Source organism: Homo sapiens, chromosome 9 (genome assembly GCF_000001405.40).
Source record: "Homo sapiens chromosome 9, GRCh38.p14 Primary Assembly".
Taxonomy (NCBI): Eukaryota; Metazoa; Chordata; class Mammalia; order Primates; family Hominidae; genus Homo; species Homo sapiens.
Genome location: NC_000009.12, coordinates 134,640,389 through 134,660,120, shown reverse-complemented (window position 1 = coordinate 134,660,120; position 19,732 = coordinate 134,640,389). Strand labels below are relative to the sequence as shown.

The window sequence follows — 19,732 nt, the reverse complement described above, 5'->3', positions numbered from 1 at the left end:
TGATGGTTTAAAGATGTGGATCGTGGCCCAGGTCCCTGACCCAGGAGGGGTTTTGTGATGCTATTCCAGCTCAGTTCCTGAAACATCTGGTCCATTTCTACCCCTGGCCCGCCTGCGCCTTATCTGCTATAGCATCTGGCTTGCTGGGCCCCATTTCTCCTTGGCCGTGTGTCGGCTGAAACTAAACAGGCAGCACCTACCTGGCGATAATCCTCCCCTATCACTCTTTCCTTCCCGCTAAAATGGAAAAACTGACTCAGACCAGGGCAGCTCACCCCCTTAAGCAAACAGTGCACACACAGCTGGGCACAGGCTCCAGATCTAATCCGCAGATCTCATCGAGGACGGTACTCGGGGCGCCTGTGGAGCCCACGGCTCTGTGGGCTTTGGAAGAGGCTGCTGAGTGACAGGATCCAAAAGGCCCCGCTCCCTCCTGAGACCCGCCACCAGGGCCATGGTGATGCAGGAGGGCAGGGAGGACAGAGGGTTGTTGGTGGGGTCACCGGACTTCACATTCCTCCTGCTCCTCTCTCTCAGTGCCTACTGCAGGGATGAAGACCCCAAAGAAAAAAAGTGCAACCGTCCTTCAGATAGGGACCAAAACCCCACCTTCCTTGGCTACTTGGCACTCTCGGAAGGCCTGGACTCATATCAGGCATGTTCCCAAGCAGCTGGACAGAATCAAATGCCCACAACTCAAAGGCTTTTTTATGATTATGATTATTATTATTGTTTTGAGATGGAGTCTCTGTCGCTCAGGCTAGAGTGCAATGGCGCCATCTCGGCTCACTGCAACCTCTGCCGCCCAGGTTCAAGCAATTCTCCTGCCTCAGCCTCCCAAGTAGCTGGGATTACAGGCATGCACCATCACGCCCGGCTAAGTTTTTTGTATTTTTAGTAGAGACAGGGTTTCACCATATTGGCCAGTCTCAAATTCCTGACCTTGTGATCCACCCGCTTCAGCCTCCCAAAGTGCTGGGATTACAGGCCTGAGCCACCACACCCGGCCTCAAAGGCTATTTTAAAGGCCTAACTCTGCCACTTCCTAGCTGCAGGGCCTCTGAGCCTGCTTCTCACCTGTAAAATGGGATGACACCTCCTGCCTTACACAGAGGCCATCGGGATAAAACACAGTGTGAAGGCACTTGGGGTCAGGTCAGAAGAAGACAAGTCCCAGAGAGTCCTACTCTTCACCTGCAGAGAAAAGTCTCAGCGAACCCCTCCCTCGTATGTCTCATGTGAATTTCTACCTTAACTGACATTTCAGTTTCCGGGCTCCGGAGAGACCTTGAAGAGGGCCAGGACCCCAGAGCCCACCTGGAGCCCAGCAGCCCCTCCCCTCCAGGCCTGGAGCCAGAGCCTCCCAGCTGCTCTCCGCACAACCACAGGGTGCCTGCCCCACCCCCCGCCACCCTCCAGGGGACAGAAGCCGGGCAGGGTACAAGAGGGGCGTCGGCTTCCATTAAGACCCCCGACATGCCTTTAGGCCCACACTGCCCTCGGACTATAGCCCCTCTCCGGGGCCTGCAAATCCTGCTTGAGGGCTAGGCAGCTGTTTGTAATCGGCCAGGCCCTAGCTGCAGGAAGGGGAGGTGGGAGCGTATGCATGTGAAGGGGCCCAGGGCGTGCAAGGACAGGCCCAGCAGGGGCGGGGGGACGTGCAGGGGCGGGGGCACATGCAGGCTTGGCTTGGGCTGCCCCTCCCAGGGCTGTCCCAGCAGAACTGGAGACCCGGGCAGCCAGAAAAGGAAAGAAAGAGGGAGCGGGTGTCTGCACTTCGGAGCTGCTTTCCTTTATCACTGGTGAGCAAGGAGATTTTCAGGGTAATGGTGAAACCTATGGGCTGCGGAGGCCGGGGTCCAGAACCTCCCAGCGTGGGTGCTGCCTGCTCACAGAGGGGCGAGCTGCCCACCACCACGGTTGTAGGGTGAACATTGGTCCTCAGAGCCTGCCCTGGGCAGAAAGCCCCTGCATTAGAAAGCCTGGGACCCCTCCAGCCCACTGAGGCTGAGAAAAGACCCAGTTTTGAACACCGTCCCCTGACGGTGGCAAGAGACGGGCAGGGTTGCTTTCCCCAGCGACAGGACTCCGAGTGCAGTCCGCCATAGCCAGCAGCATCTCCGTGCCCGGCCCATCCCTCGTCAGTGAAGCCCACCCGACAGGCCAGGACTCCCAGGCCTGGTCTCCCCACTCCTCACCAGCCTGTGACACCAGGAACCCACACCTTCTAAGTCTGAGCTTATTCATCTGCCAAACGGCCCCCAGGCCATAAGCCAGGCCACTGACTCTGTGCCCCCTCCCCAGAAGACATCAGAGTCCTCTCCAGGAGTCCAGGCAGGTCCTGTCCCACCCCCTGCCCTTCCCCGTCAGGCCTGGCACCCCCGGGCAAAGGAAACTCATCTGGAGAAGCTCCTGGGAACTGAATACAGAGGAAGGTTCCACAGCCCTCACCCCCCATATTATCTATAAACTGCACCCCCTACCCCACCCCCCATATTATCTATAAACTACACCCCCAACCCACCCTCCATATTATCTATAAACTACACCCCCTACACCACCCCCATATTATCTATAAACTACACCCCCACCCCACCCCCATATTATCTATAAACTACACTCCCACCCCACCCCCATATTATCTATAAACTACACCTACACCCCACCCCCATATTATCTATAAACTACACCCCCACCCCACCCCCATATTATCTATAAACTACACCCCCACCCCACCCCCATATTATCTATAAACTTCACCCCCTACCCCAGCCCCCATATTATCTATAAACTACACCTACACCCCACCCCCATATTATCTATAAACTGCACCCCTCTACCCCACCCCTGTATTATCTATAAATTGCACCCCCTGCCCCGACCCCTATATTATCTATAAACTACACCCCCTACCCTGCCCCCATATTATCTATAAACTGCACCCCCTGCCCCAACCCCCATATTATCTATAAACTACACCCCCTACCCTGCCCCCATATTATCTATAAACTGCACCCCCGCCCTGACCCCCATATTATCTATTAACTACACCCCCTGCCCCACCCCCCATATTATCTATAAACTGCACCCCCTGTCTCACCCCCCCATATTATCTATAAAGTGCACCCCCTGCCCCGTCCCCCATATTATCTATAAACTGCACCCCCTGTCTCACCCCCCCATATTATCTATAAAGTGCACCCCCTGCCCCGTCCCCCATATTATCTATAATGTACACCCCTTGCCCTGCCAATTGGAACCTCTGGCCCTTTTGTGCCAACCATTTAGCATCCTCTGAGGTCCCTGGCTGGGCCTGAAGCTGCAAACAGCAGCTTTAGTCCTTCTTTCACACTTTATAAAAGTTACAATTACTGCCTCCCAACCTCCGTATTAACAGCCATGTAAAATAACAGCCATCTCTAATAAGAATTATATGATACCATCTGCGACCATCCCAATAAAAGCAGCAGGCATCGTTATCAATACCACGAGTGCACCTGGTGCTTGCACTGCACGGGACGATGTCCTGCACACCGGGCACACCTAGGGCTTTGCATCCACACCAGTATTGCTTCCTTAGATCCTCACAGCTGCCAGTCCAGGTAGGTGGTGCTATTGCCTCTGATATGCAGATAAGCTGCCTCAGATCAGAGAGGTTAAGTAACATGTTGGAGATCCCACAGCCAGGAGTTCAAACCTGCTCTCTCGGCCTCCGAAGCTCCCGGTGTCCCTGAGAATCACTGCTTCCCTCCTCATCCCCTGAGCTCTCTTTGCAAAAGTCCAAGAGGTGACTGTGAGCTGGTGATAGGGACAGGCTCTGCAGAAGGACAGAGGGCTGGAGGGAGGCACAGGCCCCCACCCTCCTCTGCTCAGAGTTTCCCAAAGTACCCTCAACTGGTCACTGCCGCTGCACTGGGCGGGCAGGACGAGGAGCCGCAGGCCCCAGGCTCCACCTCAGACCCTCAATCTGAAGCTGCAAGGTGGGGCCCCGGGGCTCCTGCACCTGTCCACTGTGAGGGTCCCAGGCTCCAAGCTCCGGCATCCTCTGGCATCCGGTGGTGAGCCCTGCAAAGCCCCACCCTGCAGGAAGCTGGACCTGCCCACCCTCCTTTGCTTCCAGTCAATCCCAGAAAACACCAGGCAACTCCGGGCCAGGGTTACAGACCCAGAGAACTCCAACCCTCTGCAAAATGGCAGTGCAGCTGCTGTCTTGGTACCAGCCCTCTGTGCCAGGACATTCAAGGAGGGCAGGACAGGGGAGCCCTGCTGCAGGTGCCAGAGGCTCTGACAAGCCCACGTGCCATAGGACAGCCTGGTGGGCACAGCACCCATGGCACCCTCTGGGTCCTCACCCACAGCCTTCGGGCTGAGTCCAGCCTGGTCACACATTCCTGTCTCCTGTGGCACTTTCACAAGCCCAGCTCAATTCCATGGGCTCAGCAGACTCCTGCAAGTCACCTCATGGGGGCCACCTGTGACCTCTGAACCAATGGCATGCCTGGGACACACAGTAATAGTAATGACCATAGCCAGCTGTGGTGGTCCTAGCAGTTTACACATGTGAATCCTGAGTCCTCTCAGCATGCCTGTGAGACAGGTATTATTCTCATGCCCACTTGACAGATGGGGAAACTGAGGCACAGGAAGGTGCTACGAACTGCCTTAGCAGCACTGAGCTCAGGCTCATGAGGACGCTGCACAGCCCAGCTGAGAGGCTAAAGGTATGGGACACAGCCGCCCTCCACCCTCCCGGCTGGGGGCCTCCCGGGGCTCTGTGCTTCTCTGAGCTCCACCTCCGCCTCCCTCGGGTGGGGACTCACCCTGCCTCCCACATCGATGCACAAAACAGAAAAGTGCAGGCCCTAAAGCCCAAGGCCACCCAGTGCATTCGGATAAACCAGCCCTACAGACGCCCGGCCCAACACAACCCCAGCCCTACAAACCCCTGCCTTATACACACACCAGCCCTACACACCTCCAGCCCTACACACACCAGCCCTACACACCCCCAGCCCTACACACACCAGCCCTACACACCCCTAGCCCTACACACCTCCAGCCCTACACACACCAGCCCTACACACCCCCAGCCCTACACACACCAGCTCTACACACCCCCAGCCCTACACACCTCCAGCCCTACACACACCAGCCCTACCCTCCCCCAGCTCTACACACCCCCAGCCCTACACACCCCCAGCCCTACAAACACCAGCCCTACACACCCCCAGCCCTACACACCCCCAGCCCTAGACACTTCCAGCCCTACACACACGAGCCCCACACACCACCAGCACTACAAACCCCGCCCTAAACACACACGAGGTCTACACACCCCAGCCCTAGACACCACAAGCCCTACACACACCAGCCCTACACACACCCCAGCCCTACACATCTACAGCCCTACACACCTACAGCCCTACACACACCAGCTCTACACACCTACAGCCCTACACACACCAGCCCTACACACCTCCAGCCCTACACACCCCCAGCCCTACACACCCTCAGCCCTACACACTCCCAGCCCTACACACCCCCAGCCCTACACACACCCAGCCCTACACACACCCAGCCCTACACACACCCAGCCCTGCACACCTCCAGCCCTACACACACCAGCTCTACACAACTCCAGCCCTACACACCTCCAGCCCTACACACACCAGCCCTACACACCTCCAGCCCTACACACCTCCAGCCCTACACACACCAGCCCTACACACTCTCAGCACTATACACCCCAGCCCTACACACTCCCAGCCCTACACACCCCCAGCCCTACACACACCCCAGCCCTACACTCCTCCAGCCCTATACACACCAGCTCTACACACCTCCAGCCCTACACACCTACAGCCCAAAACACCCCCAGCCCTACACACCTCCAGCCCTACACACACCAGCTCTACAAACCTCCAGCCCTACACACCTCCAGCCCTATACACCTCCAGCCCTACATACCCCCAGCCCTACACACCCCCAGCACTACACACCCTAAGCCCTACACACTCCCAGTCCTACACACCCCCAGCCCTACACACACCCAGCCCTGCACACCTCCAGCCCTACACACACCAGCTCTACACAACTCCAGCCCTACACACCTCCAGCCCTACACACACCAGCCCTATACACTTCCAGCCCTACACACCCTCAGCCCTACACACCTCCAGCCCTACATACACCAGCCCTACACACCCCCAGCCCTACACACCCTCAGCCATACAGACACCAGCCCTACAGATGCCTGGCCCTACAGACTCCCAGCCCTACAGACACCCGGCCCTGCACACCCCCAGCCCTACAGATCCCCAGCTTGAGAGACCCCTGACCCTGCAGACACCCCCAGCCCTGCAGAGTCCCCAGCCCTATAGCCCCCTGCCTGAAAGACCCCCAGCCCTGCAGACCACCATCCCTATAGAACCCTGGCCCTACAGATCCCCAGCCCTATAAACCTGCAGTCCTACAGATCCCTGGCTCTGCAGAGCCTGGTCCTGTGGACCGAGCACAGTACGGATGGAGGGGAGGTCTGGGTGAGGGGGGCGCCCTTGGGAGACGCACAGACGGCACACGGCCAGCAAGCTGAGGTGAGTTTGGAGTAGGGGTCCTCCTCTTTCGGAGACCGAAATAGTTACCGAAGAACGCAGCTGATGTCAGGGACTGGCTTCAAAATCACCGGGTGCGGGGGCGTGGGCTGGCCTCTGGCTGGAACGGGGTTGGCTGTGGGCTGGTCCCTGTGGCCCCAGGCAGAACACGACCTTTGCTGCGCTGTGTCTGAGCCTTCCCATAATAAGAACATCAACAACAGCAGAATCTCATGGCCAAACCCATGGGAAACCCCTTCTCTGGAAGCTCACCCCCACCCCCAGGGTCTCCCTGCTCCCTAAGACCTGCCGGATAGTGGGGTCTTTGCTTTGGAGATGAGTGAGTGCCGCTGCCAGGTGTGCAGGGGAACAGCACCATGGGTGCTTTGTGAAGCGGGGACCACCATAAAGAAAGCGGGAGGTTCCTGAGATGGGTGGAGGAACAGCCACACCCTCCTCTCTTCTCTCCAGCGCTTCTCCCCTGGCAGGTGCCCTCCCCACCCCACGACCACCATTAATGCTGAAATCCAAGACCCTGGGCTCGAGGACGCAGAACGACTCGTGGTTTGCAAAGTGTGGCACCCCCAGACGCTCCAGCATCCGCGTGGTCTGGGAACTGACTTCGTTAGAAATGCAGTTTCCTGGGCCCACCCAAGGCCTCCTGAGTCAGAAACAATCTGTGCCTTAAGAGAGGCCTCGGGGGGATTCTGGGGCCTGGTAAAGTTTGGGAACTGCTGGTCTACACCATGAGGAGAAACGCTGGACCCGGCCTAAGAAGAGGCCCTCCCTCCTGTCTGACAATGAGCCATGAGAAGACCATGGGGTGAGGCCACGGAATCTCACCTTTGCTTCCTCTATCCCACGATTCCTGCAGCCTCCGGGCTGGGTCAGTCTTTTTGGTGGGGGCTGTCCCGTGCACTGTGGGGTGCAGAGCAGCATCCTCGGACTCCCCCAACTACAGGCCGATAGCCCTGCCCCCACCCCAGGTGCGACAATCAGAAAACATCTCCAGACATTGCCACATGTCCCCAAATGGCCTGGGCTGAGAAGCCATGATGTCCACCTGTTTCAGGGGCAGGAGGATGACACTGGCATCCCTGGCAGGACAGTCGCTCCCCTGCCCTCCCACCCCCTCTCCCTCTCCCGATGGCTCCACCTGGGGCATCTCCTTGCCCCACCCAGCAGAGCCGTGTTACACTGGGTCTGCCTGCTGTCACCAGCTCACTGTTACCGCCACACCGGCCCAAGGACGCCCTGTGTGTTCTCAACCTTCAGCTGAGTATCTCCACTGCTCAAGCAGTACTTTTTGACCTAGTCGACCATTACTGAGACCTATGACCCTAAATAGCATGAATAATAATTACCTAGAAAGCTCTTACAATCGCAGTCAGAAATCGTTCCCTACCCTTCCCTCGAGAACGCCCTTCACCCCACCTCGACCGCGGGAACACTCTGTAGCCAAAGGCTCTGAGAAGAGTCAGTGTCACTTTCTCCTTTCCTTAATACCTCTGGGAGTCACCATCCCTCCTTAGAAAGAAGGAAGGGGAACGTCCACAGGAACGTGGACACGGGACACTTTCTCCTCACTCTCCTTTCCCCAGGGGAAGAGCAGAGAAATAGCACAGGAAGAGGATTTCAGATCATCCCCAAAGAAAGAAAACAAAACAAAAAATCAAGGGAAGACAACCAGCAGCAAAGACAGATCCTGGGAATGTCCCTGATGGACACAGTGGTGGGAAGGCAGAGGACCCGAGAAAAGTCCCCCCAGGGGCCCCTCTGTCCCGCGCCTGTCATCGCACCTGCACCCACCCACTGTGCAGAGCCCATGGGCAACGGGCCGGCTCTCCCCACACCCAGGCTTGCCTGTCACCCCCACAACAGGCCCCAGTGACTGACCTAATTGTGTGCTGAGGATGCAGATGGCTGGGCCTCTGTCCTCCAGAAGAAAGACGAAACTACAGCTGGAAAAGCTGAGACCACCGTGCTCTCTGGTGTACATTTTTATTTTTATTTTCATTTTTTTTTAGACAGGGTCTCACTCTGTCACCCAGGCTACAGTGCAGTGGCACAAACACAGCTCACTGCAGCCTCAGCCTCCCTGGCTCAAGTGATCCTCCCACCTCAGCCTCTCAAGTAGCTGGGACCACAAGCACGAACCACCACACCTGGCTAATTGTTTCTGAAATTTCTGTAGAGGTGGTGCCCAGTAATGGTATTGTTGGGTCAAATGGTGTTTCTGGTTCTAGATCCTGGAGGAATCGCCACACTGTTTTTATGTCATTTTATGGCATTTATTTAAAAAATAAAGAGGCCACCAGATGGTGCCCAGGCTTGATGTGCATTTTTATGCATCTGAAAGGAAGAAGAAGAAACCGAGGCAGAGGCTTCAGGTACGCACTGTTGCCTGGGGCCATGGCTCCCCTTCTGAAGCACTGGGACCCAGCTGCCATGGAGGCTGGCGCCAGCAAACAAACAGGAGGGAGCGGAGCCACGCCGCCCTCACCTGGCCTTGAGAATGGACAGAGGCTGCTTGCGTCCATGCATGTGACTGTACGGACCTGCACCAACATGCAGGCCGTGTGACCACTGGGACGTGGAGGGTGGTTTTCATCCCCTTGTGCCAGCTGGACTCAAGGAGCTAGACTGGCACATCTGCAGAATGGGCCGATCCCACCTGGCACGAAGGGCGGGTTTGAGGATCACAGGTGCTGACGGGAGCACCCTCAGAGCAGGGTCCAGTGTAAATATGAAAATATGAACAAGAGCCAGAGGAAGAACATGCACGGGAACGTGCCCTCTGCATCCACCAATGGGAGCCTGCCTTCAGGCGCATGCATCCCAAAGGGCTGGCCCTGGAGAAGCAGGCTGGTCTCTGACTGGCCACCGCCCCATGGGGCTGGCAGGTGCCTCCCTAGACTGGCCTTGGCCACACCCTACTCCCACTTCTACTGCACCTCACTGGGTAAAACCACCTGTTCAGATGGCTGACTCCCCCGCCGCAGCGGAAGACCCAGTAGGGCACAGACGGCTCGCCTATCGCTCACCTGTGCCCCCCGCACAGGTCCGTCTCATGTTAGGGGTCCATAAATGCTGCCAAGCAAACCTGCTGACACACCCAATGTCTTTGCATATGGACCCCATCTGTTCCCTCTGTACCCACACACGGGAAAGAGTGCTGGTCCCCCAGGCCACCCGCCAGCAGAATGGAAGACGGTCGCTTCCAATGGAAGACGGTTACGATGCTCATGTGTTCTCACTGGGAGATCACTGTTTCCCAATGCAAGGGTCAGAGTTTTTCAACTTAAGTCACTCCTGCTACATACACACATTTAAAAAAATTTTTTTTATTATACTTTAAGTTCTGGGATACATGTACAGAACGCACAGGTTTGTTACACAGGTATACACATGCCATGGTGGTTTGCTGCACCCATTAACCTGTCATCTACATTAGGTATTTCTCCTAATGCTCTCCCTCCCCTAGCCCCCCACCCCCCAACAGGCCCTGGTGCATGATGTTCCCCTCCCTGTGTCCGTGTGTTCTCATTGTTCAACTCCCACTTATGAGTGAGAACATGTGGTGTTTGTGGTTTTCTGTTCTTGTGTTAGTTTGCTGAGAATGATGATTTCCAGCTTCATCCATGTCCCTGCAAAGGACATGAACTATCCTTTTTTTATGGCTGCATAGTATTCCATGATGTATATGTGCCATATTTTCTTTATCCAATCTATCATTGATGGGCATTTGGGTTGGTTGCAAGTCTTTGCTATTGTGAACAGTGCCGCAATAAACATACGTGTGCATTTCTCTTTATAGTAGGATGATTTATAATCCTTTGGGTATATACCCAGTAATGGGATCACCAGGTCAAATGGTATTTCTGGTTCTAGATCCTTGAGGAATCACCACACTGTTTTTATGTCATTTTGTGGCATTTATTTACAGAAAAAAAAGAGGCCACCAGAAACCCTATTGCCGAGGTCCTGGCAAGGAAGAAAAGGACAGAAGAGCTAATTTCCCTACAAGAACACGGGTCTAGGAAACAGAAAATAAAGGAAGCTTCCATTTCATGGGCAGAGACATCTCGGCAAATAGGCTGAGCCCATGTCCCCAGAGCTCTGAGTAATTAAATTTTGAGAAAAGTGGGTCAGGCTGTGGTTCCATTTCTTAGGTCTGAGTCATCAAAGGATGGTGACATTTACTGCTAATATGAGGTTATTACCTAGTTTGAGATTCCTCCAGAAAAACTCCTCTGCTGATAGGAAGCTGAGGGTGTGACGGCTCGGACTATCTGACATGGATAACTCAAAGTGACCCGCACCCCTCCACTGAGCATCCAGCCACCAATTCATTCATTCCACGGTCTTCTCTCCAGTGGCCTGGGGCTGGGCTGGCACAAAAACAACATCTGAGATGGCAAAGCCCCCCCCACACCCCGCCCGCACCAACTTCACCCACCCCTGCCTGGAACACCTCCTTTCAGTGATCAGCCACCACTCACCGCCATCACATCACAGAGACAGAACAGAGGCCTGCAGCTGGGAGGTGCACAGGTCCATCCACCTCCTGGACCTCCGTTCCTTGTAAAGAGCAAGTGGCCAGAGGAGGCAGGGGAGGGCCACTCTGCGGGCTGAACTTGGCCTGGCCCGCGACTGCCCAAGGATGCACCTTCCTGGCTCAGGCTCAGAGCCTCAGAGGCAGCGAGCAGCGAGCGATCCGCTGAACTGACCACTGGTGCTTACTGCCTTACCTTTTCTCCTGCGTACCCAGTGAGGGAAGCAGCAGTGTGACACCACACAGGATGGCAAGGGAGCACGCACAGGCCAGCGAGTAGAGGGCCCCAAACCACCTCACAGCCTCCTGCTGCACTGGGGCCCCTGGTGGCAAGGGCAGTAATGGGGTCTTACTCTGTGCTTTATATGAGTAATACATTAGACATCACTAAAACCCTACTGTAGTTACAGTCACCACCCCCTTCTTACAGATGGGGAAAGTGAGGCACAGGGTGGGAAAATGCACTGCTGGTAGACACTGGAGCCAGGATAGGAATCCAGGAGTCTTGCCGGCTGCCTGTCCTTTGCCAGCAGGCCACCCTGGTCCCTATGCCATGTCCTGGTGGCTGCAGTCCTGCAGTCCTGCCTATGAGCAGAGCTGTATTAGTCAGGGTTCCCTTAGAGGGACAGAACTAATAGGAATAGAAATAATAGAAATATATATATATATATTATATATATATATATAGGAGTTTATTAAGTACTGACTTACACAATCACAAGGTCCCACCACAATAGGCTGTCTGCAAGCTGAGCAGCAAGGAGAGCAAGTCCGAGTCCCAAACCTGAAGAACTTGGAGTCCGATGTTCGAGGGCAGGAAGCGTCCAGCACAGGAGAAAGATGTAGGCTGGGAGGCTGGGCCAGTCTCGTCTCTTCATGTTTTTCTGCCTGCTCTACACCTGCTAGCGGCTGATTAGATTGTGCCCTCCCGATTAACGGTGGGTCTGCCTTCCCCAGCCCACTGATTCAAATGTTAATCTCCTTTGGCAACACTCTCATAGACACACGCAGGATTAATACTTGTATCCTTCAATCCAATCAAATTGACACTCAGTAGTAACCACCACAAGGGCCGCTGTGGGCTCCGCCTGCAGGATCGAGGCACATCCACCAGCCAGGCCAGAAACTTTAAAACCGACACTTGGCAAAGCACTGAGAGAGAGCAGACGAGTCAATTATATGGGAGAATGTAAATAGAGGAGAAGCGGGAGCCATAATGTAACATCGCCCTCCCGGGAGTTTAAAAAGACATGAAATTGTCGGATCCAGCTGGACCCGGCTTGCCCTGCGGCAGAACCCACAGCCTCACGCTCAACCGGCAGGTTCCACGTGCCATCTCCTCCTCTCCCGTCCAGCTGGGGCCGGGTCACGGTAAGGAGAGAAACGTCGCCCTGCCACGAGCTCCTCAAACACACCAGGCCCTGCACGTGGAGTCAGCCAGGGACACCCATGTGAACGCAGGTACATGTGCAAGGATGCGCATGCGTGCACACTCAAACACACATGTATACCCACAAACACATGTGTGCAGGCAGATCGCGGGGAGATATACACATTGTCCACACGTGCACACGGCCTGACACACACACACACACACGCACACATGACACACATACACACAAACGCACACATGAGTGCAAACCCTGGAATTGGCTTCTAAAGCTTTTCACATGCATCACACCCCACGGCCTGGACAATGACCCCATGAGGTTCCGTGGGAAAGCAAAGAACCGAGGCCAAGGAAGGCAAAGGGGCAGCAGAGACCGGCTAAGCGGGCAACAGCAGAGCCCCAGGGGTCTCAGCAGGGCCAGGCCCCACACAGGCACACCTCCCTCGCCTGTGCTTCTGGGAGCTAAAGAGGGCTGTGGGAACACTGCTCTTTCCTCCTGCAAAACCACCACTGAAGATGGGGGCGATGGTAACGTCCCCACACAGCCAGTGCCGAGTACAGGTCAGGCAGCCTGCAAAGCTTCTCACAGGTGTGGCCTCAATCGATCTTCACAACCATGCCTCAAAGCAAGAAATGTGGTTCTCCCCATGTTCACGAGGGGAAGCTGAGGTGCAGTGACTTGTCCTCGCCCAGCCCATCCGACAGCCCCTCAGAGGCAGGGAAACTCAGCTCCAGCCTCACACCGACCTTGCTGGCCTGGAGTTCAGTAATCTGATTGCCAAGGAATGTCCCCTCCCACATCCGACCACCTGTCACCCAGCACAGGTACCCAAAATCACCCCCAGAGGCCCCCACATCCTAATCCACAGCTGTGGAGCTGTCTGCAGAGCTGTGCAGACTGGGCTCACTGTGCCAGGCCAGCAGGGCTCGTCAAAGGGAAACAGGAGGAACGGGGGCAGAGAAAGGGTTAAGGAAGCTGCCAGGATCTGCCACTTCCCTTAGGGGCACTTGTATTCTCCTGGCAAACAGATACTGGGAGCACCTGCCAAGCCCGTGAATGAGGGGCTTTCCAGCCAAGGGAGCCGCCCAGGAGAGCTCTGGGACACGGTGTGGAATGTCCTGTCAGAAGGAGGGAAGAGAGCAAGATTAAAGCCAGAGGTGGAGGAGGACCCCACGAAGGAGGGTCATTTCTGCAATAAAAGGAAGGAGAAGAGAAGGAGGGAAGGCCAGTTTCACATCACCTCCTCCAGGAAGCTCCCCAGCTCTCCCCAGTGCAATTAACCCTCCCAGACTGTCGGATGCAAGACCCAGCACATCCCATGGAGGGCCCTGAGTAAAATTCACAATGGTCTGCCTGTCAGACTGTGAGCTCCTGGAAGGAAACGAGGGGTCCCATCCCATTTGCCTCGGTCTCCCCAAGATAGGCCCGACCCAGGTGAAAAGGCAAAAGCCTTCAGGGTCCAGGCAGGTTATGCTGATGTGCAGAGAGGCCTGGGAAGTGGTGGAGACTGTGGCTGCTGCATCCCTCTTGAAGGCACTGGAGTAAAAAGAGAAGGGATGGAGGGACAAAGGGAAGGAAGGAAGGGGATGGGAGAGAGGGAGGGAGGAAGAGAGGGAGGAAAGAAGGAAGGAGGGAAGGATGGAGGGGGAAGGAGAAAGAAAGGAACTTAAAAGCTGTGTTGGCCAAATGGAATGGCTCTGCTCCCAGGACCCTGTTTGGACTGGGCCCCCAGGCCAGGACTATAGCTCAGGGCCCTGGCCTTCTCCCCGGGGAGAGCTGATAAACCGATGGGAAGTGAGAAGAGGGAACTGTGACAAGTCAAAGAGTGACCATGCCAGGCGAAGGGCCGTTGCTGGCTTAGGGCCCCACAGCAGGAATGGAAGACATCTGCCTGGCATCCCTGCCCCCTGACTCCTAGGCTCTGTCCCTTCTCAGGCCCGGGTGAGGGTGCAGTGAGATGGTGCAGCTGATGCTCACCACAGGCCAGGCAAGTGCCAGCCCCTCCATTCCCATGTGTGATTGTCTCCCAAGGCCATTCCCAGAGCCACGTCACGTGACCGAGCAGGGACAGGTCCTGCACTGTTCCAGATGCAGCTTGGCTCAGGCTCCTATGTGGGTGCCCTCGGGAAGTGTTGGGGACTCATCCTCGCCCTCCAGCGGGGCAGCTCACTGCTCTGCACAGCCCCTACTCCACCTATCAAGGTCTATCTCCCAGGAGGTGGGATGGGGCGGTCCAGGGAGGAGGCAGGGCAGGCAGACAGGCCAGGCAGCGAGAAGGCAGGGCGGGACGGGCAGCACCAGCTGTGTTCGGCTGAGGCGTGGCGGTGGGGAGTCCAGAAATATCTGCAGGGCGGGGTGAAGAGCAGGCTCTGGCCAGCCCCGCAGGAGCAGCCCAGGAGTAACATCACTGGAGAAACCACTGTGAGCCTGGCACTGGGAGCACGCCCCTGCCTGGGGCTGCCGCACTGCTGGGTGGGCACAGCCCTGGGTAGCAACCAAAACTCCAACCCCTCCGGCAAATCTGGACCACAGCAGGGAGAGGGCTTGGGGAATTCTTGGGGCTTCTGAGCTCCTCCCACTCACTGCTCTTTTATGGGGAGAGGGAGGGAGGGGGCAGAGGATGGAAAAGGATGTCTTTCCAGCCAACTTGATTGAGTCAGAGGAAATTTAACCATTTGATACCTGTCAAGTCTCACAAAACTTGGCCGACTCTCCCCACAAATTATTGCAAAAAGCAATCACGTGACTGGAGTCAACCAATGGCGTGTAGAGGAGATGACCTCAATTTCCAAATATTGGGGTCATGTTTCATTTCCCATACTCTCCTTCCCCGTTACACTGTTCAGCAGCCCCAAATGCAATCTTACTTTTCATTCCTTCACACACTTGGCCAAAAGAAAGCAGGCAAAAGAACTGTGTTCAGAAAACCCTCAGAAAACATCTGGCAGATCCGAAGATGGAGAAGACAGCAGGCACTTGCTGGTGGCTCCCCCCCGCGCCTGCCTCTCCAGTGGACAGCCGCCCCCTCCCCGCCACGCCTGCATTTCCAGTGGACAGCCGCCCCCTCCCCCCAGCGCCTGCATCTCCAGTGGACAGCCGCCCCCTCCCCGCCACGCCTGCATCTCCAGTGGACAGCCGCCCCCTCCCCCCAGCGCCTGCATCTCCAGTGGACAGCCGCCCCCTCCCCCCAGCGCCTGCATCTCCAGTGGACAGCCGCCCCCTCCCCCCAGCGCCTGCATCTCCAGTGGACAGCCGCCCCCTTCCCCCAGTGCCTGCATCTCCAGTGGACAGCCGCCCCCTCCCCCCAGCGCCTGCATCTCCAGTGGACAGCCGCCCCCTCCCCGCCACGCCTGCATCTCCAGTGGACAGCCGCCCCCTCCCCCCAGCGCCTGCATCTCCAGTGGACAGCCGCCCCCTCTGGCCATGCTCGAAGGATGACTTCCAAATAGGTCCCACCCTGGGAGGTGGAGAGACGTTGGCAAAACTCACTAAGAAAAGTGGTCTCTCCACATGCTTCTAAAAGTCTGTTCTGACAAAAGCAAAATGTCCAACTCCATAGCCTGCTGCTCTGGGCCATCCTCACTCCCACTTCCAACGAGCCGCACTTCGATTAGCGAGGGCAACCAGAGAGGGAAAAAGACAGTGTGGAGGTGGGGAGATGGGCAGGGAGGGAAATGGAACCCCAAGCCCAGTCCGGTGCATGGTCCCCAGGCAGTGCCCTGCCCCAGCTGTCTAGGGTGACGATTCCCCTGAAGGACTCCCTCCTGAGTTTCTGGGGAAAAGTCCCCAGAGGCGCTGAGACAGGGCCTAGTCCCCCGGCAATGGCACAGTCCCTGACCACACCTTCCTTCTCCTCTCCACTTTTCTGGGGACCTCTGTTGTCCCCCACCTTCAGCTAACCCCTGGAGAAACACAAGCCCAGTTAGCCCAGGGTCAGGAGAGAGTTGGTGGCGGCCCAGGGATGAGATCCCAGGTCCTGGGAGCCAGGCCAGGCTCCTGGCTCCTCCCCCAGAGCCCCAGGGCAGCCCCCACACCCAGACTCCAGCTCATCCAGTTAGCCCAACAAGCACTGATCGTGCCAGGGAAAAAGGAAAAGAGTGTTTTAATTGACAAGCGGAACACGGACAATGATTCTTCCCACTTGTCTTCCAATCGTGAAGCAGAGAGAAGCATTCTTGCTGGCAGGCGGCGGGCTGGTCCAGACGTTCGCTGAGCCCACCGTCCCATCGCTCTGCCCGCCACTTCTCCTGACCTGGCAGCACACAGCTCTGAGCCTCCATCTCCCCGCCTGTCAATAAGGATTCGGGGGACCTTCCAGGGCTGGGGGCTCTGATGTTCGAGAGTCTGTGAAAACCCACCCCGCCACTAACTACCAAGAGCGATGCCTAGAAAAACTCCCCCGTCAGGAAGCTGCGCCAGGGAGAGTTGAACCCTCGAGAACCCAGGCAGGGACGCAGACAGTCCCCGCCTTGAAGCGCCCTCCCCGGGAAGCAAGCCTCCTTCTAAGGGCTGACCCTTGGCAGAAGGAATCCCACATCTGCATATCATCCCAACCACTCACAGCCCCGCCTGCAAGCCCATCTCTGGCTTTGCTCCACGCATCCCATCTCTCAGCAGCGAATCCAGGAAAAGCTGCCTTCCAGGGATCAAGAAGTTTGGGGGTGGGATTAGGAGCAGGGCTGTCTACCACCCTGCAGGGGTCCCCAGTGCCCCCGAACACTTAGGTGACCAAGGCTGCAGGAAACGCTGTCCCTGGGGAAAGCAGGGCGCCAGCTCAGCCTAGAGTGACAGTGCCTGGGGGAAGTTCAGTGCTGGGGGCCCAGGCTTCTGGGATTCCCCCCATCCCCAGGAGTCCCGGGATTTGAAGGGCTGTAACTCTAGGGGGCGGCCCTGCCCGGTTTGGAGCAGAGGAAGTTCTGCTGTAGGGCTGTGAGGGCCCAAGCTGGGCGCCTGTGATGTGGGACAGAGAAGGAAGGTTTTTGGGACAAAAGTTTGCCCGCCTCGTGGACAACCCCTCCTGCTGATCCAGCCCTCGGTCCTTCCTCGGCTCGCGCGACAGCCCCACCCGACCCGCCCGTCTGGGGAGGGGGCGGCGGCGCGCCCGCGGGCATTGTGTCTGCGTGTCGTCATCTCGGGGGGGCCCCCAGCAAATGGCATTCGTGGTCTTGGCCCGTGCATTCCACAGGCCAAGGAAGAAAAGTTCTGCGGGCGAAGGCGCCCGGGGATGACAGCGGCGCCCGGGCTGCGCGCGCCCCATCCCGCAGCCCCGCGCCCCGGGGCGCCCTTACCTGCGCGGCTCGGAGGCGGCGCCCACAGCAGCAGCAGCAGCAGCGGGGGCAGCAGCGGGGCGCCCGGGCGGAGCGCGCTGCGCGCTTTCCAGCGGGTATGGACGTCCATGCCGGCGGGGCGCGGGCCGGGGCGCACAGGGGCGCTCGGAGGCGCGCGGGGACGCACAGGGGCGCGGGTCACGGCCCGGGCAGCGCACTCAGCAGGGACCGCACCACTTTAGGAGGTCATGGGGACCTCGGCACCCCCCGTTCTTCTTTGTGGCGGCGGCTGTTCTGGAAGGGGCGGCTGGCGCGCTCGCCCACGGGCGGGAGGGCTCGACTTTGGCCCGCGGGGCGGCCGGGACCCCGCTGGGCTAGCTCGCCCTCGCCTCCTCCTCCTCCTCCTCCAACTCCTTCTCGCCTCCTCCTCGCCGCCGCCGCCCCGCGACCCGCTCCCCGTGGGCGCTCCGCTCGAGTGAGGTCCTGCGCCAGCCGCGGGGACGGAGAGTGCGGACCTCGCCTTCGGCGCGGAGCACTTTTTTCCCCCTTTTCCTCCCTCCCTCTCTCCTGGAAGGCAGCCGCGGAGGCTGTCGATCCCCAACGCCCGCAGCAAATCAGAGCCCGGCGCTGGGCTCGGCGAGGCCAGCCCCCGCCTCCCACTGGGCGCCGCGGGCGAGGGGGTGGGGACAGCGGGCGAGTCGCAGCGAGGAAGGGGCTGGCCCGGGGCGGAGCGGACGTGGGGCGGGCGCGGCCCCCTGTTCTTTCTCTGAGAGCCGGTAGGCGGGCGGGCCTGGGGCGGCCTCGGAGCCCAGGGGCCCACCCTGGTCCCCCCACTGTTCCCACCCCAGGTGCCCGCACCTGGCCATGCTCCAAGAACCAGTGCAGAGGGGCCCCGAGGTTTGATCACTTCGGGTTAAAAAGAAAGTTGCAGTTTACCCCGCCTAACTTTTTCTTTAACGTGGAGGAGTTCAGAGCTCCTCTTCTGGGTGGAGACTAAACTTCCCATCCAGCCAGATCAGGGCGCCCAAGACTGTGGCCTACGTGTCAACCCGGACCGAGGACCTGCCTCCTAACTGCAGATTGGCACGGGACCGAGCTGGGGTCTGACTTCCCAAGAGCTCCCGGGACCTCCATGTGCTTGGACGGGAACATCTGGGTTATTAATCAGGCGAAGTTTGGCTCTGCGGCCCCCAGGCTCTCACCCCTCACTCCTGCCCACTCCCTGGTGGCCCCTCTGCAATAAAAAGGAAACCAAAGAAGGCATCCCCTTGGGAGTGACAGCTGGCGCAGGGAGAAGGCATTCCTGATCGGCTGCTCTCGGAGAAGAGCTGGGGCCCTGATTCTCCTGCCTGGCTTCTTTAAGCCCCTCGGGGTCTCCTCCAGCAGGAGGCCCGCCAGTCTCTGGGTGGTAGGTGGGCGTCTCTCCCTCCAGCTTCCCCAGGCCTGGCCTCCCTGCACAGCCTCCTGAAGCCTGACCCACACCCCTTCCCCAAGGGCTGCAGGGCTAGTTTTTTAAAAGGAGGGAATCAGAATGAATTAAGAACGATTTGCAAACCCTGGGCCATCCCCATTCCCTTTGAACAAACAATTTAGCCAGAGATGCCAGACAGGGCTGGGACTCCCCTCTCCAGTTACATCTCCAGACTGGGCGTGAAATTCCCCAAATGCTCTTTAATTCTCACCATTCTGGAAACAGGAGGTGAGAGAGGCGTCCGAGGTTAGGTTTGCCAGGATAGCCATGGCAGGCTCCGGAGCTGGGTGATAGGTCGCTGTTGCTAACTTGGTGATGAGGCTTTTAGTCTCCATATCTGCCACATGCGCTTGCATAGATATCAAATATTTCGCAGGAAAAGAATGAGAAGCTCTTCACACACAGACGTGGGGAGGTGCTTGAGATACATTCAGTAAAGCAAATGTTAGTTCTGACCT

The 19,732-nt window shown here is 57.6% G+C and overlaps 1 protein-coding gene and 2 long non-coding RNA genes across 5 annotated transcripts in view, besides 7 other annotated features; 1 reads left to right on the top strand and 2 right to left on the bottom strand.

Annotated features, from left to right (window-relative positions):
- COL5A1 (collagen type V alpha 1 chain) overlaps positions 1-18,318 on the bottom strand; it is a 203,041-nt gene extending 184,723 nt beyond the window's left edge. For 2 of the 3 annotated variants that reach the window (NM_000093.5, XM_017014266.3), the window contains exon 1: positions 17,825-18,318. In NM_000093.5, the coding sequence (NP_000084.3) occupies positions 17,825-17,933 (109 nt within the window). In that variant the 5' untranslated portion in view covers positions 17,934-18,318. The remainder of the gene's footprint in view (positions 1-17,824) is intronic. The other variant, NM_001278074.1, reaches the window with a different exon arrangement.
- Positions 1,734-2,541: an enhancer, noted in NCBI's record as "H3K4me1 hESC enhancer chr9:137549426-137550233 (GRCh37/hg19 assembly coordinates)". NCBI's record gives its function as "activates a minimal SCP1, AML or CMV promoter by ChIP-STARR-seq in primed H9 embryonic stem cells {active_cell/tissue: H9 hESC(primed)}" and the evidence as "EXISTENCE:reporter gene assay evidence [ECO:0000049][PMID:30033119]".
- Positions 3,598-4,461: an enhancer, noted in NCBI's record as "H3K4me1 hESC enhancer chr9:137547506-137548369 (GRCh37/hg19 assembly coordinates)". NCBI's record gives its function as "activates a minimal SCP1, AML or CMV promoter by ChIP-STARR-seq in primed H9 embryonic stem cells {active_cell/tissue: H9 hESC(primed)}" and the evidence as "EXISTENCE:reporter gene assay evidence [ECO:0000049][PMID:30033119]".
- Positions 4,462-5,326: an enhancer, noted in NCBI's record as "H3K4me1 hESC enhancer chr9:137546641-137547505 (GRCh37/hg19 assembly coordinates)". NCBI's record gives its function as "activates a minimal SCP1, AML or CMV promoter by ChIP-STARR-seq in primed H9 embryonic stem cells {active_cell/tissue: H9 hESC(primed)}" and the evidence as "EXISTENCE:reporter gene assay evidence [ECO:0000049][PMID:30033119]".
- On the top strand, positions 7,278-10,736 carry COL5A1-AS1 (COL5A1 antisense RNA 1). Its single transcript, NR_138049.1, has 2 exons — positions 7,278-7,413; positions 10,537-10,736. It is a non-coding gene; the product is annotated as a COL5A1 antisense RNA 1 (long non-coding RNA).
- LOC124902300 (uncharacterized) lies at positions 9,915-12,067 on the bottom strand. Its single transcript, XR_007061842.1, has 2 exons — positions 11,857-12,067; positions 9,915-11,730 (listed from the first exon to the last, which is right to left on the bottom strand). It is a non-coding gene; the product is annotated as an uncharacterized LOC124902300 (long non-coding RNA).
- Positions 10,787-11,286: an enhancer, noted in NCBI's record as "H3K4me1 hESC enhancer chr9:137540681-137541180 (GRCh37/hg19 assembly coordinates)". NCBI's record gives its function as "activates a minimal SCP1, AML or CMV promoter by ChIP-STARR-seq in naive H9 embryonic stem cells {active_cell/tissue: H9 hESC(naive)}" and the evidence as "EXISTENCE:reporter gene assay evidence [ECO:0000049][PMID:30033119]".
- Positions 12,011-12,810: an enhancer, noted in NCBI's record as "H3K27ac-H3K4me1 hESC enhancer chr9:137539157-137539956 (GRCh37/hg19 assembly coordinates)". NCBI's record gives its function as "activates a minimal SCP1, AML or CMV promoter by ChIP-STARR-seq in primed H9 embryonic stem cells {active_cell/tissue: H9 hESC(primed)}" and the evidence as "EXISTENCE:reporter gene assay evidence [ECO:0000049][PMID:30033119]".
- Positions 14,793-15,377: an enhancer, noted in NCBI's record as "H3K27ac-H3K4me1 hESC enhancer chr9:137536590-137537174 (GRCh37/hg19 assembly coordinates)". NCBI's record gives its function as "activates a minimal SCP1, AML or CMV promoter by ChIP-STARR-seq in naive H9 embryonic stem cells {active_cell/tissue: H9 hESC(naive)}" and the evidence as "EXISTENCE:reporter gene assay evidence [ECO:0000049][PMID:30033119]".
- Positions 16,633-17,339: an enhancer, noted in NCBI's record as "H3K4me1 hESC enhancer chr9:137534628-137535334 (GRCh37/hg19 assembly coordinates)". NCBI's record gives its function as "activates a minimal SCP1, AML or CMV promoter by ChIP-STARR-seq in naive H9 embryonic stem cells {active_cell/tissue: H9 hESC(naive)}" and the evidence as "EXISTENCE:reporter gene assay evidence [ECO:0000049][PMID:30033119]".